General features: G+C 42.5%; 1 long non-coding RNA gene across 2 annotated transcripts; it reads right to left on the reverse strand.

The window, feature by feature from the left end:
• On the reverse strand, positions 278 to 18,780 carry LOC107985861 (uncharacterized). 2 transcript variants are annotated; one of them, XR_001739383.1, is made up of 6 exons: positions 17,685 to 18,780; positions 15,700 to 15,751; positions 11,570 to 11,716; positions 10,266 to 10,412; positions 3,341 to 3,529; positions 278 to 495 (listed from the first exon to the last, which is right to left on the reverse strand). It is a non-coding gene; the product is annotated as an uncharacterized LOC107985861 (long non-coding RNA). The 2 variants fall into 2 exon arrangements; XR_001739384.1 differs by lacking the exon at positions 15,700 to 15,751.
• Between the last annotated feature and the right edge of the window lie 257 nt (positions 18,781 to 19,037).

The following is a 19,037-nucleotide window of genomic DNA, read 5'->3' on the forward strand; positions in this document are numbered from 1 at the left end:
TGGTTTATTCTGATTTTTCTGGCATAATTATTATACTGCCTCATTTTACTTTCAAGAAATTTCTATTTTAGACAATAAATTAGAGGCCACTCTAATCAACAGGAGGACTTCTGGTGATGGTTCTAGAAGGAAGATTGCTTTTCTTAGATGAGTAAAAATGTGGGTTTGCTATTTAAGTTGTTTTGTATGTGTGCTGAACTTGGGATACTCTGTTCATGTGGGGCATTATTCTAAGTAAACAATAGTCAAGATGCTTATCCAAAGAAGAGACAATTTGGACAAATGAAGCCAGCTTTAAGTAACTAAGGAAGTAATTAGGTTGCGCATATCAGTCAATGACAGTCTTATCCTATCCACCCAACTGAAGATGTTTTACCCACTTTGCAGCTCATGGAAGCAGCCAGATAGCAGCACACTGTCTCTTTGAAGGGCAAGGGATTCCTGACACCAGACTCCAATCATTCTTCCAACAACCTCCTCCTCTCACCCACATACCTACATGGGCCATGAAAGTAACATGAATGAGTGAAATGAGATAGGGTTGGGGGAAAAATAGCATAAACACAATGACAACAATGAAACTGCTATTCAACCTTCATATTGAGGACACAGTAGGGAGTAGCGGGGCCCACACTGGACTAGCAAGGAATCAGCTCCAACTCATCATTGCCAGTGCCAGTAAAGTGTTGCCAGAGTTTTCCAGCCTCAACAAAAGCATAAGTCCAGATGACGATGTGAAACCTCCTGGATTTTAACTGTTATCGATTAATTCAATCACCCCCACCACCAGCCCACCAAAACATTGGATGGGCTAAATAAACAGGTCTGCAGTCTGAATCCAGCCTGCTGCTTGCCAGCTTGCAACCTCTACTCCAGCCACCAGTGTTTCCATAAGTACTGAAGTTTTCCTGGTTTCCATCTTCTAATGTGGGAACAGATCTACCAAGCTAGGACAAAGGGTAAAGAGTACACCAGATTATATTAGGAGGGGCCTTAGACTCTAATGTAGTTCAATACTCCTCATTTTGTGATTGAGAAAAGTGGAGCCCAGAGAAATTGCACGAACTGCCTACAGCAAGATGAGTTCATTGGTAAACTGTGGGCTATAACATATCTGCATTACCCAACATTGCTCCCAAGTGACATCCCTCACTAGGTTTCACAGGACAAGTGAATCAGGGAGCTGAGGCATTTCTACGGTGGGATGGGGAGGCTGCTAAGCCCAGAAGTTTCTAGGTAATGAGCAAAACAATGAACAAAGACACTGTGACCAAGACTCTGGGCAATTTGCTGTGAGGAATACAAATAAATAAGGCCTGTTCCAGCTCTTCTAGAAAATGTAAGCTGGTGATTTGAATAAAGCCTTGAGTGTTAAAAGATCTAGTCCTTCCTCTTGGGTTTCTGTTGAGTAATGTTGAGTCCTAGATAGAGGCGCTTCAGTCCACCTGAGAAATAGCTACATTGCAACAGGAAAGTCGTTTTTGCAGCTCTGCACTGCACCTGTCTTCAGTTTCCCTCTCTAAGTGCTGTGCAAATGTTAATTAAACATAGATTATTTGAGAAGTGCTTTCAGCATTTGAACTCAACTGGGCTGCGTCAGATGATGATATTAATATCATTCCCCTGTTGGCAGAATGCTGTTTTTTAAAAGAAAAACTCTTTTCCTTTTACAGTTTTTGCCACACAGACAATTTATTTTGCCCATCCTCTGGCTATTTCACCTTTTGTGTCATCATTTTCATGAGACAAGTGAAAATAATATTTCTCTTATGCTCCAAAGAGCCAAATCCCTTTTTCTAGCTTGATCCGAAGAAGGCCAGTTGGAGCAGTAATGGGAAAACGCCTGATGTACAGTCCAAGTGCAAATCCTCAGGGAGAAATAATGCATCTCTTTGGGGAAAAAAATAGCTTATACTTATGAGGTAGGAGATTTTCAATTTATAAAGGTTTCCTATTTCTTTCAATTGCCAGGATAACTGCATTCCAGAAAGGTTGGGCTTCTGCCATGTAAGGCAGAACTGCTCTCTTACATCTGGGATGTAGATTTAAAAATGATGAGTGACAAGCATCCCTCTCCATGCCCTGGACCACTGCCCTGGGGATTGTAAAGCAGATCAGATCAAAGGGTTAAAATCCATTACCCAGAGAGATGGAGAAGTTCCTCTCAGTGATTTCTTCCCCCATCACTGCTCTCAGGCCTGAATTCCAAATTGATTTCCTTAATAACTATTAAAGATCTTTTTAATTAAACCAGGCATCCTCTTCCTTAGCAAACTTTTCTTGATGACATCTCTGGTTAATTAAAGGTTTAAGCTGCAAAGACATATTACATAAGAACAAGGGAAGCTGCTTTATGGTGTGCCGGTGAAGGATCCTGCTGATTCCTACTGCAGAAACCAAGGCCGTGCCAGAGAGCTGCTCTTGTTTTCCTTTACAGCATTTCCTTTCTTTTAGAGGCCCCAGAAAGTGTTAATAACAAAAATGGTTTGGTGAGTGGGGGTTCATTTTTCTGTTTCCTGAGGTTCAATTTCTCCTTTCATGCTTGCCTGGTAAGTGTTCATCAAGTGTTTTTCATTAAAAACATCACTCATTTTTATCACGATTCACTGATGCTGACAAAACATTTTTACCTTTTCATCCAAAATTCCTGAGGTAGTTGATACATTTGGTAATGAAAGAACAACGAATAAAAACCTCTTTTCACCCATCAATAATATGCAGCCACCTCTGTAACAGAATATACCAAATTCTAACAAGAAGGAAAAATCATATTTTTATATATATATGATTTTGTGCATACATATATGACTTTGTGCATATATGTATATATATATATGTTGTTGTCATTGTTGTAAATTGCCCTAATTCCTTTTCTTTTTCCTAAAACCTTTTTCTTTTTCCTGGTTCATTTTTTTTCTACCAGGACCCGTATTTTAAAATGGTAGAACAGAGTATGGTGTAGAGAATGTAACTATGGAATGGAACTTTTCTCCATGAAAAGCTAAATATCTCTTAAATTGGGAACCAAACCCATGACCTTGACTTTGTTGTCATCATAGTTTAAAACACTGGGTCTCAAACCTAGATATACATTAGAATTATCTCTTGTTATTGCTAAGAGTCACATGCCACTGCCTCACCCTAAGCCTGCTGAAATTTTATGGATGATGTCTCTAGGCACCCAAGTTTGGGAACCACTGATCTAATCAATACCTTCAAGTCCAATCAGTTCCACCTGTAGGCCTCCCTGGAAATGGGAAAGATGGCGTACCGTTTCAATATTTCAGTGCAACAGACAAATCAGACTGTCAAAACAAAGCAAAGGAAAATAGAACCTTACCAGTATTGCAGAGGAAAAGCGGCTCCAATTCTGATGAGACATCAAGGAGGAAATTTAAAAGATTTTCTCTTATTTTCTTCTTAAACTGGAACCAGGAGCATAGATAATCCCATGTCATAATTAGTCACATGGAGAGTCCACTCACAGACTGTCACTGGTCACGTGTTCTATAGCTCTACATCAGTGGTTCTCAAAACAGAGAGAATCAGTATCACTGGAAGAATTTATTTTACAGGCCACTTTATTATAAAAATTTTCAAACATATGGAAAAATAGAACAATAGTATATTCGACACCCACACATGTAATATACCTAGATTCAAAAACAGTTAATGTTTTGCCATATATATGTACGTGCCCACATATGCATGGGTTTATAATTGCTGAACCACTGAAAGGTAAATTACAGATGTCATAATATATAACACTTAAATAATAACCCTAAACAACCCAGAAGTACTTCAGCATGCATTCCCCAAATTAATAACATCTACCAACATAACCACAGCACCATTATCACACCTAAATGAATGTAAAATAATGTCCTATTATCATATAACACCAATTTTTAAGAAACTTAAAAAGAGAAAAAAATAAAAAATAAAACAGCAAAGTTTCCAGGGCCAGATTCCTAAAATCTTACATGCAGTTAGGTGATGCTTCACAAAATGCTACTGTACATGACTAACTAATGAAGAATGCTTGTCTTTCCAGTAACTGAAAAGAAGTTCATTTTTTTTTGTACTTGAAAATTGCTTGGCTATTTACGTGGTACTTAACAGTCACAATTTTATTGGATGCTCTTAGCGATGCTACCCTAAGGGAGATAGAGTGATGATAAAACTGGGCTCCAGGGTTATTGAGACCAGCCCAGGTTTTCCAGGTAGCTAACAGTGGCGGCTGGATTCCAACACTGGCGTAATGGAAGCAACACTAGGCTGGGAGTCTGAAACCGGAATTCTGGTTTTCTCTGTGCTCCTAACTCTGCCTATGTGATTTGGGGCATTGGAGCAAACCTCTCTGGACTTTCATGTCTTCTTCTGACAAGTGAAGAACTAAATCAATGGTCTCCAAGAGACTTTCTATTTGGATCTTTCTTTCATTCAATACATTTCTGACTTCTTTACTAAAACTCTGCATTCATCTCAATTTGGCCCCGTAGCAAATTTATACAGGGGCTTATTGAGTCATAAAGGAAATACCCAACATTAGAATATTGGTGAGAAAGACATGAATTTGACAAAAGTCTTACCACTTGCTATGGCCAAGTACAGCAGAATGCTGAGCGTCTGCCTGTGATGCATGCTGTCTTAAGGCAGCTCATTAGAGAAAAGAGTGAGTCCCTACAGAGATACAGGAGCCCAGGTCTCCTCTTCCTCACTCCTTTAAAAGAAAACTGCAAAAATGGAAGAGCACATCCCTGGCAAAGTCAACAACTCCTAAATGTAAAGGATAAGTTCCATTAACTACTCCCATTTCATTTCACAGGTGATCCCTGCTTCCCCAGCCCTCCCTGTATTACAAGAGTTCAGTGTTTCCCCAAACCTTTACCAGGTCCATTTACATCTCCCAGCACTGGTCCACCACAGACCCAGGGGCTGGTGGGTGAGGACCAGAGCTATTTAAAATTCTTCACTGGGGGAGACTTTCATTTCAGATGTATTGTGTGAATTTTTTTACAACCAGAACATAGTCAGGCATTCCTTTGTGATTAAAAATAAATAATTAAAACCCTTGACAGCTGATGGGCTTTTCTTTGGACTCTCAAAGACAAAGTAATCTCCAGGGTGCAGCAAATGACACTGCAGTTTTCACTAGTGTGTTGGATGTGTGTGTGTGTGACAGAGAGACACACACACACACACGCAGACAGAGAGAGAGAATTCGGGGCAGAGAGGTGGTATGAGATCCCATTTATAGAAACTGAATGGAAATGGCCCATTGATGCTAATACAACAACAATAATAATGTTTAAGCCCTTAGATTTAGATCATGGGTACACTAAGAGGCAATATGAAAACTAAGGTTAGAAAATCATGGTAGAAACTGGGCCAGTAGTGGAAGGTGTGAGAGAAAGATGTAAAGAACCAACTGTCCTACTTCATATTATCTCTCTCTCTCCTTTCTCTATGTATCTCTCCTTTCTCCTGGCCTCCCATGACCTCTTTTATAATATCGTCTCTCCCTACCAGACATCGAACCCCCTCATAACTTCACTCATGACACGCCCCTGCCACAGGTTCTCTGAAAAAATAATGGTGCTCATTGAACAGGTTCTTTCTTCAAAAGTCCTCTTTTCTCATTAGGAAGTTCACCATCACCAGCTGACTGTCTTTGTCCTTTAGGGATAGAATTTGCCAGCAGTCAAGGTGACCACCTGAGACAAAGCCCAGCAGTGACAGAGGGGAGTTAAGATCCAGAGCTTTCTCTCCACAAAGGAGTCACACTCCCTAGGAAGGAACCCTCATCATGGAGAGCAGATCAGGTTGTGACCTTACAGATCACCTGGCTGATGCCCTGATTCTCCAGCCTGCCCTCAGGAGGTCTCTGGTTGGTCTGGCTTCAGTGACATCTCCCCACTCCCACGCAGGATCAGCTGAGATGGTCACTGTCCCTCAAAACAATGGAGCTGGAAAGGACACGTTTAAAAACCTCAGGACTGAATAAAAGGCATTCAGAACGATGAAGGTAAAGAGGCGCCAGGCAACGCCAGACAAAAAGGCGGTGCTGAACACAGTGTGGAGTCAGCTCAGCTCATAAGGGCTGGAGTCAGAGGCTAGAGTTCTGATCCCAACTCTGCTATCAACTGACAGCAGACTTTTGCCAAACGACTGAATCTTTCTGGCCCCAGTTTCCCCAGTTTGGAGTTGGCCAGAGAGACCTCATTTTCTACCCTGGGATTTGCTACTTATTAATTGTGTGACTTGAACATATTATGTAACCTTTCTAGTCTCAGTTTCATCATCTGGTATTAAAAGTATCTTTTTGCAGGGTTGTTGTCAGCCTTTAGAGATAATGTATACAAAGCACCTGGTACCGAAGGTAATCAATATACTAGTCATCCATTACTGTTGCTCAGGACTATGTGATGAAGATGAAGCTATCACTTGCAGGGCAACCATCATGTCTTTTGCACCTTTATAGCCTCACATCTTAGTGACAATGTTGGGCATATTGAAAATGCTCAACACTATGGTTTTTCAATAAGGTCTTAAAAAGTGAGCATCGCCTTCTACTTTGGCACCCCTGCAAGAGGAAATATGAAGTGGGCTCTGGAAATAGAGTACCAACCCCACCCCTCACTGACTATGTCACTGCTGCAGCTCTGGTGGGCATGTGACTTTTGTTTGGCTGCCTCTATCTGAGCCACTTTCTATCTTGGGGGAATTCCCCCACTTTGATGAGAGACTGAAACAGCCTTTGCCAACAGAGTTGAAAAATACCAGCTACTTCGTTTCCTAGCCTCCCTTGCAGCTAAAGCCCGGATTTACACTCTGCCAATCAAGCCTCCGCACCAAACTTTTTACCTTAGAGCTGGTGAGACAAAAGAGAAGTGAGACTAGTGACAGAGTAAAGGTCTAATTCCTGGTGCAAAAGAAGCACAGTGCTGGCAGCAAGAGCAGAAGCAGTCCAGTGGAGTTCCTGAATAGAAGTGGCAGTGGTGCAGATACTGGCATGCAGTTCTCTGTGAGAGTAGCTGTGGTTCCCTCGTCACACCAGTTTTGCAGTCCGGTGTTAGGATCCCCTCTGGAAGCTTAGCCCTGGTTCTCTGTGAGCACCCCAAAATCTTTTTAACATTCTGTTCCTGCTTTATCAGCCAGACAAATCTTCAATTGCTTGCAAATCAGCATTTTTTTTTCAAGACGGAGTCTCGCTCTGTCACCCAGGCTGGGGTGCAGTGGGGTGATCTCAGCTCACTGCAACCTCTGCCTCCCAGGTTCAAGCAATTCTTCTCCCTCAGCCTCCTGAGTAGCTGGGATTACAGGTGCGTGCCACCACGCCCGGCTAATTTTTGTATTTTTAGTAGAGACAGGGTTTCATCATGTTGACCAGGCTGGTCTCAAACTCCTGACCTCATGATCCGCCCACCTCAGCCTCCCAAAGTGCTGGGATTACAGGCGTGAGCCACCGCGCCCAGCTGCAAAATCAGCATTTTTTTTTTTTTATTCATCAAGGTACCGAATCTCTCTGAAGCTCAGTTTCCTCATCTTTAGAAAGGGGTAAATTCTTTGGGCATAGGAGATAACGTATGTCAAGTGTCTGGCACCAGGGTACTCAATACATATTATTTCCCTTGAACGCAAGCGCAGCAGCAGTCAGAACCCTCAGCTACACTGCTGCATATATTCCTTGCTGACATTTGAGTACTTGTGTGCCTCAAGGATCCATGTAATTCTAAAGAGTTCCCATTTTATTGGTTGGTTTTTTAGCTATAGTGAGATCAGAAGGCCAGAAAGAGATCAGACCCCAGGTTTACATGTAGAATCATTCAGAAACATCAAGGAGTAATCTGTATAAACTGAATCCAAGAGGGGGACCAGCTCTGGCCCTCAATTCAAAAAATCACAGCTCACATCTCCACGTTTCCCTGAACCCTCCAGCCAAAACGGAATGACCCTGGCACAAATAAACGCTCTTTTAATGCTTTCAAGAATATAATTCTTTACAGTTTCGAGATTTGCTAACACTGGCATAAGAAACAGCTGCAGAGTTATTATCTCTTGGCATCTCTTTAGCTCCCAGACTGGGTTTTGCCCTTGTGAAGGCCCCTGTGCTTCAAGGACATTGCCATCAGGTGGTGGTGAAGAGCCACACTCTCTGACTAGGGAGCCCGGGCCGGAATTCTAGGTAGCTCATAGCTAACTGCTGTAGACTCACCTTCTGGGTTTAGAAATGGAATCTGTTAGCTGCAAAAAAGGAAAAACCCTCAAATTTATGCTAAAAGAGACAATTCATTAGATGTATGACAGAGTATCTTATAGTACCCAAGGGTGGTAGGATGGCCAGATCTTGAGATTCCCGTCTCCATTTCTCTAGGACTACGTGAAGCTTGTCCCTGATCCTCTCAGCCACCCACTTCGCTCTTTCCCCTGGATGTCCACATGGATTACTCTCCTCTTTCACCTTCCTGCCCTCTGTATCTGAAATAGCAGCTTCTCAATCTCCTCAATCTCTATTGCCTTAGCAGCTTTATTTTCCTTCATAGCACTTATTACTGCCTGACATATAATATGTTTATTTATTTCTTGTCTCTCCTTTGCCTCACTGGCATGTAAATTCCATGAGGAAAGGAACTTTGTTCTATTCACTGTTGTATCATCTGCGCCCAGAAGAGGGTATAGCTTACAGAAGGGACTCAGTAAAACTTTTGAATAAGGAATAATGAATGAATGAATGAATGAACGAATGAATTCTCCTTCTCTCTAGTCCTGTTCTCTGTTTCTGGGTTCTCATGAAAAAAAAAAAAAAAAACAAAAACAACAAAACAGCGCATAACACCAAGTCACTGTGACTTCCTTTCTCATCTTATCCAAGCTTTCAATACTAACTAATTTACTTTCTTAGAGTAAAATCTTGAAGACAGAAAGTATCTGATTAGCTTAGTGCAGCCTACAAAAGAGTTCCTTTGGAGTGCACCAGAAAGCTTATGTTTCAGGAATAGGGCTCAAAGCACTTTTTTGTGCTTTGACAGCCAGGACTGTGGGAAAAAATAATTTGCATCCTTAAGTAAAAAACCATTATGTACTTTTTTGTATAAAATAAACTTAAGAAACCATCAATAATCTTTGTAGAACTTGGACAATCACAAATTATTTTTGTTATAACACACATATACACACAATTAAACCAAAAAAATTACACAAAACATACATGTCTGTGTCTTTCTTCCTGAATTCCCAACTGTTTTCATCAAAGCCCTTCTAAGTGGATCTTTTCAGGATCCCTGATTAGAAGACTAGCCTCTACATGGGGTCTGAACCCTGACTCTGCAATTGAACCTCACCTGTGATTGACTCTTGATACTGTGGTTTCCTTTTCTCCAAAGGCAGCATTCCAATATTTAGCTGTTGGTCTTCTGGTTGATTATGAGATGAACTATTTTCATCCATCACTGCCCCCACACCCATTATCTGTGTTTTTTTCCAGTGAGCTTTAAACTGAGACAAAGCTTCTACTTGGCTGTAAAACTCTGCGTTTCTCTTTGACCCATTCCTCACCAAGAAGCAAATTATTCTAATCAGTTTTCTCTTCCGTTAAGCTAAGGTTGGGTGCAATCACTGTTGCATTAATTAATTAACAGACTCTTGGTCTGGTTGCCCTGGCAATGCCCACCAAAGCAGCAGAACCTTTCCAACAGGAGAGCACATCAAGCAGTCAATGAACTGTTTTCTTCACATGTAGAAGCCAAGCGCACAGAGCACCTGCTACAGAAATGGGCTCCCAGGGGATGCTCAGGAAACACTTGCTGAGCAACATGTAGGCCAGTGATGTGGGTGCTGAGTCTGCAGCCTTGAACATCGGAAGGCGTTTAGAGCTGGTGGCTGACACTGTCCAAGGGGAATAGGAGCCAGTGTGATTTTACAAGAGCCTCAGTGTGGTACCAATCCCTTACAAATCATCTAGAAAAGCACGGAAAGAGGGCCTACAAGCCCTTAGGTAAGGCCAGGCTGCCATGGGGAGGAAAACCAAACCAATTCATTTCCTGGTCATTTCCACTACCACTTCCCAAGGTCACAAAGAAGAGTCTCCACTTGGGACCTTGGTGTTGGGGGCTCCACCATAGCATTGTTCCTCTGTTGCAGGGCATTAGCCTGACTCACACTAGGTCAGATGTCCAATCAGGAGAATCTCCCTGAGTCAAGTGTGAGAAATAGAGAATGCCACTGTATACATACACACAAGAACTAACTTTCAGCTTACTTACAGATGAGCGCGATATTTCCAGCTCATTTCTTCCAAGGCTGTGTTCTTGGTTCCTTTGGGAAAGTTGGGTCTTCTCAGGCACATCCCCAATTCATGTTAAAATGGTTTGCCCCATTGCATGTTCAACCACCAATTGCTTCTCAAATTTCTTTTGCATGTAGAGAACAGAGAGAGATACACTTAAGCTAAGCTAGCCCACTTAAAGGAGAGTTTATTGAACAGATACAGAACTCAGTTACTTGACCCAGCCAGGCAGGCCTCTTGGAAACAGAATCCAAGAAACTGGCAGGCACAGGGCCCAAGCTGCTGTTCTGCCTGATGCAAACAGTCCTGCATCTCTGCCTCTCTCTGACCTGGGCTATCTTCTCTCTGCAGATCTGCTTCCTCACCCCTCGTTTCTGCTCCCATAACTTCAGCTTGGGCTTGCCTTAGAGCCAATTCTGGCCCCATTTCTATATACACCTTAGGCTCAGGTTCTGATAAATAACTCTCCTAGTTCCTCGCTATTCCGATTTCAGATTTTAAGAGAAGAATCTGGGTGGCTCACTTCTGCTCAGGAAACTGCTCTAGACCAGGCAATCGCATGAGAAATAAGGGACAAGAGCACATTGCCGTTATGACTGCCTTGGACAATCTCCTTAATTGGGGCTGCCGGCAATTGCCTGAGAAGGAAGCTTGGTTGTAGGCTCAAGAACCCCTACCTATGTCAATGGCAGCTTCTGGGATTAGAATCTCTTGATTTTTTTTTTTTTTTTTTTTTTTTTTGAGATGGAGTTTCACTCCTGTTGCCCAGGCTAGAGTGCAATGGTGCGATCTGGGCTCACTGCAACCTCCGCCTCCCAGGTTCAAGCTAATCTCATGCCTCAGCCTCCTGAGTAGCTGGGATTACAGGCATGCACCACCACGCTTGGCTAATTTTTGTATTATTAGTACAGACAGGGTTTCTCCATGTTGGTCAGGCTGGTCTCGAACTCCCGACCTCAGGTGATCAGCCCACCTCAGCCTCCCAAAGTGCTAGGATTACAGGTGTGAGCCACCACGCCCAGCCATTCTCTTGACCCTTTTTATTTCCTGTAGTCTCTGGGTACTGCTGCCCTTCATTCAATCCTTCTTGTTCCGTGTTTTCTTTTCACCTTTTGAACATCCTTTTCCAGAATGTGTTCTTTATTTTCCCATCACCTCCCCCCTCCAATCCAGATCTACTTACGTTCTACTGTTAGATTTCAGTGTTGAATGGAGGGTATGTGATCTCAATTGAGAAACTCTACATCTCTCACCCCATCCTTTCCTCCACATTCCACTTACCTAATCACAGCAGTCACCATCTCGCTCTCTGAAACACTGTGTCTTCAAAATTCTCATCGACATAGTACTCTAGAGCCATCTGTTTCCTGAAGTCTGTTCCAGAAGTCATTTTTCAGCAAAATTTACTTTCTTAGAATATTTTAGGACCTAAATTTAAGGAAGATAGTTGTATTGCAATTGATCAGTATAGTTCCTGAGTCCAAGTTAAGCCATGAACTAGTGTTCACAAAATTTTCAATTCTGACTTATTAACTAGAGACCAGTTGCCTAATTCTGATTCCCAGGACATAATGAAACCAGATGCTTTCTGAGTGGGTCCAAAATGAGAGCCCCAACTCAAAGTAAAAACTGCGCATTCTTTATCCATCATTCACCAAATGTTTATTTATTCATTCACCAAATGTTTACTCAGCAACTGGTATGTGTTAAGTCTTACCAGCTAAGGTGAAGAAGACAGAGTGAACAAAACAGAAAAAGGCTTGCTCTTATGGAGATAAACATTAATGAAGTATCTGTATTACTGATCTCAATCCAGAGACCCTACACCTCTCACCCCACCCACCCCTTCATACTCCACTTACCTAGTCACAGCACTCACCCTCTTGCTCACTGGAAAATATTTGTCTCCCAACCTCACAGTGACATAGTACTTTATACCCATCTGTCTACTGAGCTCAAGAGGAGACTTTCCTGAGCAAGTGAGATTTGTACTCAGTGCTGAAAACAAAGGTAGCTAGTCTAGCAGCTGGGATGGGAAGAGAAATCCAGGCATATGCAAAGGCCCAGTGGCCAGAGGAGGCATGTTGCATTCAAGAAATTGCAAGGAGACCTGAGTGACAGGCCATAACACAAGATGAGACTGGAGAAGCAGGGGAGGCAGCCAGACCCAACAGAGCTCTCAAGGTCATGTTAGGAGCTCTAGGCTTTACCCTAATAGCACAGAGATGCAGTGCTGTTGAAGGGTTTTAAGTGGGAGTGCAGGCGAGTAAGGAGTACAGAAGCAAGATGTTATCACACTCCTGTGTTCAAAAGCCCCCTTTGGCCACAAAAAAGAGAGCAATTTTCTTTTTTTTTGAGACGGAGTCTTGCTCTGTCGCCCAGGCTGGAGTGCAGAGGCACGATCTTGGCTCACTGCAAACTCCGCCTCCCAGGTTCGCGCCATTCTCCTGCCTCAGCCTCCCAAGTAGCTGGGACCACAGGTGCCCGCCACCACGCCCAGCTAATTTTTGTGTTTTTAGTAGAGACGGGGTTTCATCGTGTTAGCCAGGATGGTCTCGATCTCCTGACCTTGTGATCCGCCTGCCTCGGCCTCCCAGAGTGCTAGGATTACAGGCATGAGCCACCGCGCCCAGCCAAAAGAGAGCAGTTTTCTAGAAGGGTCTAGATTGGTGTAGACAGGCCAAGAAGAGACTAGCTTTTTGGTTAATAAAAGCAAGATAATGGAGCCGGGACTGGAACAATTGTGGCTGAGATGGGAGAAGGGCATGGATTTGTGAGATATTACAGGTAAAACCATCAAAACTTCTAAGCTGCTGAGAGAGCAAAGGCACATAGGTAAGAAATGATAGAATTAACCCACTTTAAATGACATAGAGAAACTGGTTGAAGCAGAGGGCAGTGTTAGCTTTAACTGGGGAAGGCTTCATAGAGAACATGGCATTTGAACTGAGACTTGCTGAAAGATAGACTTGGACATGCTGGAATGCAGGGAGGGAATGGGAGTTTTGAACTTCCCTTGGGAATATGTGTGAAGGTTCAGATGATAGGCTGTTGCAGTAGTGTACTTTATACATAGCCCTCTAATTGCCATGAGGGGTAAAACTTGAAAAAATACATCAGGTAATACTGAAAGTGTACAGAGGTACTCATTTGGTATCTGCCAATGTGTGTTGGTTACCTCTTTTGCCACAGGCATTGTGAGTACACACAAGTTGACACCACACAGGCCATGCCCTAAAAATGCTTATGGTCCAAGCTCATTGCTTTCGCAGCCCATGAAACAGTCTCTAAAAGCAGAATTTGAAAACCACTAGCATCAATGACACCTAGGAAGCTTGTTCAAAGTACAGATTCCCCGACTTCTCCCAAGACCAACTGAATGTGGCTCTGTAGACCAAAGGCCCAGAGTCTTCCTTTAAAGAAAACTCATAGGGGGTGCACATGCCTCCTCAAGCTTGAAAACGAGAGTGACAGAGAAAGAAACAAGTATTTTAAGAACAACCATGTTCAATATGTGACATTTACATATTATTTTAATTCTCCCAATGATATACCATATTTATAGTATTATTATCATTATTATTATTATTATTATTATTATTATTATTTTGAGACAGGGTGTCAATCTGTTGCCCAGGCTGAAGCTCAATAATACAATCATGGGTCACTGCAGCCTCTATCTTCTGGACTTGAGCCATCCTACTGCCTCAGCCACTCAAGTAGCTGAGACTACAGCCACATGCCACCATGCCTGGCTAAGATTTTTTTATTTTTAGTAGAGACAAGGTATTGCTATGTTGCCCAGGATGGTCTCAAACTCCTGAACTCAGATGATTCTCCCACTTCAGTCTCCCAAAGTGCTGGGATTACAGGTGTGAAGCACCATACCCTGCCTCATGATTATGTTATTATTTTTATTTGACAGATCAGAAAACCTTGATACAGAGAAGTTAAGGGATTTACCTAATGATATAGCTCAAATATTTTAGAGATTTTGAAGGTAAGATCTCCTCTCTCACAAAAACAACTGAGAGCAGACCACTATCCTTTAGTTCACCGAGAGAACAACATTGGTCCACATGATGAAAATGTCCCCAGGGAGATCTATTTGGATTTCCCCAACACAAATAATTAGGTATGGTTTCTATGATTGTCTCTAGAACAAGGGAAAAGGAAAGGAGAGATGGAGCAGAAAGAAGAGGAGGAACTGACTTTCAGATTGGGCAACTGAGCCAGGTGGAACTGAAAGTCACCAGAAGAGTCACACAGGAAATTTACATGGGATCACATGGCAAAGTCATTGATTTGCAAGGGGAACCGCCCCTCTAGCACAGAGACTCACCTGGAATTTAGTGGGCTTGAATCACAGACCCAACAAAGCCACTTCTAACAGGGAGATACAGCAAGCAAAACCATCAACACCCTTTCTTCCTCCTCCACTGCCATTTAAATATAAACTTCTAGGTCAGGCGCTCCCTGGTTTTTCCTGGATTGCAGACCATACCCAGCAAAGCAGGCACAAACCCAGAGAACCAAATCCGCAATTAAGCCATTGGGAGTTATGTGGAGAGGATTGCCAGGTAGAATAAACAGGCCCCAGGACTGGAACAGATGAGAGCGGAGGTTTAATTCCGTTGTGCCGGGGAAGATTGGCAAGCAAGTCCCAACTGAAGTAGATCATTGCAGTGGAGGTAAAATATTTCATAGGATATTTTCAGAGGGAAGTGCATGCAGGGGAAACCATTCCAAATTTTTTTTTAAAAAAATCTTTGCATTAACAAACTAGGTAGGAGCATGTGGGTAATTGATGCATATGCATGAGAGCATAATTAAGAACTATAAGACCTGGAAGATTTTCAAGCTCTATGGCAATTATAAACCATGAAAAAATACCCTTCCTTGGGGTTTAGGGCTATTATTCAAGCATCTCCTCTCATTATGATAGCTGGAACTTACATAGTACTGTGTAGAAATGGAATAAACAAACAGAGAGCTGTCATAAACTAATAATGATTCCTGGCTTTGTGCTTTTCTAAGACTCTTCTCACACATTATCTTATTTGATCTCTATATGTATCAGATTCCTATTGCTGCTACAACAAATTACCACATATTTAGAGGCTTAAAATAATATAATATTTTTCTCTTACAGTTCTAGAGGTCGGAAGTCCCAAATGAGTCTTACAGGGCAAAATCAAAAAGTCAGCAAGAGTGGTTCCTTCTGAAAGCTCCAAGGAAGAACCTATTTTTGCCTCATCCAACTTGCAGTCCTTTACTTTTGGCCCATTCCTCCATCTTCAAGGTCAACAATATAACATCTTCAAGTCTCTCTGTTTCTGTCGTCACCTCACCTTATGCCCCTCTAATCTGCCTCCCTCTTATAAGGACTCCTGTGATGACCCCAGACCCACCTGAGCAATCCAGGAGAATCCTCCCATCTCAACATTCTTAACTTAATCACATCTGCAAAGACATAGCCACAAGTTCCAGGGATTAGAACATGAACATCATTGGGGTCCATTGTTCAGTCTACAACACTACAGAAATCCTATGAAGTAGATGCCTAAATCCAGTTTTTCAGATGAAGAAACTAAGATTCAGCGGGCTTCTTGACTTGTGTCAAGAACCCTTGTGGCCTGTGTTGGGGTAATTTTATGCGTGTGCCCCTTTAATATTTACTGAGTGCTCTCTCTGTGGCAGACAATGCACTACACAGTGTAGAGGAAAGTCTACCTTGAGAAACTTCTATACTAGTGAAAAAAGTAAACCGTTATTTAAAAATTCACTTAGATATACACATACTTGTGTTGTAAAGGAAAGGAATGAGGTATTAGGAAAGAAAAATAAAAGAGCGGTCATTGTGTAAATTTAAGGGTAGGGAGGTTAGGGAAAGCCTCTTTAAAAAAGTGGTGTTTATGCCAAGACCTGCAGAAGCATAGGAGTAGACTGTCAAAAGGAAATGGAACAGCATTTGGTTCTGAGGGAACAGCAAGTGCAGATACCCCTAAGTGGGGAGGAATGTGCAACTTCAAGAAGAGCAGCATGGCTGGAGTATGGTGAGTAAATGTCATCTCTTCCTGGAAGCCTTCCTGGCCTGGGGTTGTGAGCTTTCCTTGGGTTTGCATGACACTCACTCCTTATCAGATCACTGCACTAATTCTAACTCCCTGGCTATGTGGGACTCCTTGACTACACTGTGAACCACAGAGAGCCAGGACGGGGTCTATTCATCCCTGAATGCCAGTCTTGCACAGTTCCTGGCATAGAGTAGGTGCTCAATAAATACTCATTGACTAAATGTGTGAATGAACAATATGCAGATCCCTCCTTCCATAAAACTCCCTGTGCTCAAGTGAGATCAGGCCACAACGTGACTGACACTTACAATTCTGCTGTGCAGAAAAAGCATTACTCCTTATTTTTCTCAACAACTGGTCTGATCTCCCTCCAAGCCTCCCCTCCTCTTCTCAATCCTGCCCTCCATCTGTTAGATAGTGTGGGGGAAAAGACAGTATTTAGTGAATCCAATTCAAATTTTAGTTTATCTATTAGCAGCCTCTTTACATAACTTCACACTCTTTGGTTTACTCAGTCTTTTAGATTTCTGACCCTTTCTCACCCAGGTGGAAGCCAGGAAAATGAAGGGGGCTTTTCAGCTTGTGATGCAGCATCCCCCAAAGCCCCTGCCCAATAAAAACTTTGAATTCTTCCATCTTTGAATGAAAGCTGTTTGGAGACAAGAACTGTGTCCTATCAGGTACTATGGATAGTAGAGAAAGTATGGAATGAATCTCCCATGTTTCCTATGTTATCAACATTATTATTAATTATGAGTAACAGACCACATCCCAAGAGAGTCAGCACCCTGGGACTAACTAGTAAAAAAGATAAAAATGGCTGGCGAAACAATTTTTCTTAATGTCGTTCCCCTTACCTGTAAAACAGGAGAGTAAATGCTGCCCTGTCCTACTGGGAAATATTCTTACTGGGTTCAGTTTACAAAATCACTGTGGAAAAAAAACATGTTGGGGAGGGAAGATTTAAAAATACAGAAAAGTAAGCACAACAACCCAGCCCCCTACCCCACTGCACCCCAATATGATTTATCCTCCCAACATTGTCATTTTACTATAGATCAAGATCCATCAGAGTCATATCCCAATGATTCCCCCCAGATTTCTAGAACTTTCATGTCTTCTGATAGTGCCTCCATCTCCAACACTGACTCTCAATCTTCCCAATTTTGCTACCTTAAGCAATATACTTTAATTTTCCCTGCCTCAGCTCCCCTACCTATGTCACTATTGTTAGCAGATAACTAAGTGAACCTGCCATGGCACAGGTCAGAGGGTAGTTGTTCAATGCACGTCAGTTACTTCCAGGTTGGGAAGCCTACCTCCTCTGCACTCAGGTCATGTTCCATGAATTCCTTCCTCCAGCCTCTGCTCTGGGCCTGGAAGTCCTTGCCATCTGAGACTTCTCCAGGAATCCTTCCCCTCTTCATAAGCCCAGGGCAAGTTTCTCTCCATAAGCCGTGTCAGTATTAATTCTTCAGCTCACACTAATATCTTCTTTGCTAAATGCTTACTGCATCCATTCTAAGCAGAACCACACATTTCAGGGCTTAATTCTCTTCCATTAGTTCCACATGCCTTGTTTCCTCAACTCGCTATAAAACTTGTGACGACTATGTCCTGGACATCTTAGTGCAGAGAAGCCTGAGGGAGCCTAATCCCCACTCGTTGACTGGCGGTACTGTGGATCCTTCTGTCCTGGGACCCACAAACTCAAACAACAGGCTCACAACATCAGAGTCCATCAGCCCTCAATCACATGGGCTCCAGCAGCAGTTGGAGGCCTCTCTCGAATGGAGAAGGTGGTGAGAAAGCTGATTTGCCCGTAAGTAAATAGCTGTTGTAATTATGGAAGATTATTCTCAACAGACCAGCAGACGGAAACCAATTTGCATAACAGACGCTGTTATTCATGGAAATGTTTGTGATTTGTCTACCAAAGCAGATGAAGACCCTAAATTAATGTGTGTATGCCAGCGCCAGTAAACCAAACACTCGCTTCTTTATCCTCTTCTCTACAACATACACACATTGCCCTCAGGTTGAATTCAGCACCTTCAGATCCACTTTCAGGGTTGGGGGAACCCCTGAAGAAAGCCCAAGTTCCAGGGAGCAGGGCAGGAGGAAGCACGCAGACTTGTACAAACTGCTAGGCATTTTCCATTGTGCTGGAAGCTCAAGGTTGCCACTGCCTTTCTGATGGAAATCTTTTAAGAGTCTGGTGAGTCCTGCAAACCTAAGACACATCTTAGAGCAGGATGGAACAAACCAGAAGTGACAGAAGTTGTCTGGTAAGTTCTGAAACACTAGTTTTCACATACATCAGAATCACTGAAAAAGCTTTCGGTGAAAACATGGATGTTCATATCTTGGCCCCAGAATTTCAGATTCAGTGCTGAATTAAGGTGCTTCCCTCCATTCCCAGGGGACAAGCTGTTCTAAAATGCAACCAACACAAAGTTATCTGTAAACCTGAGAAATATGACATGACGCAAAAGTGCAATGTGTTCAAATGAAAACAGTGATCTATGGATCCTGGAAGCTGATTGGACACAAAAAGGTGTCCAGGCATCTTACAACATGTAAATTTACCCAAATGCATGGAGTCAACTCTTTTAAACCAAGTACTCAATTAAGTTAAGAGCCTGGTTTTTAAGCAAACTGGCTCCTTCATA

The sequence above is a fragment of the Homo sapiens genome, chromosome 2 (genome assembly GCF_000001405.40).
Source record: "Homo sapiens chromosome 2, GRCh38.p14 Primary Assembly".
NCBI classification, from domain to species: Eukaryota; Metazoa; Chordata; class Mammalia; order Primates; family Hominidae; genus Homo; species Homo sapiens.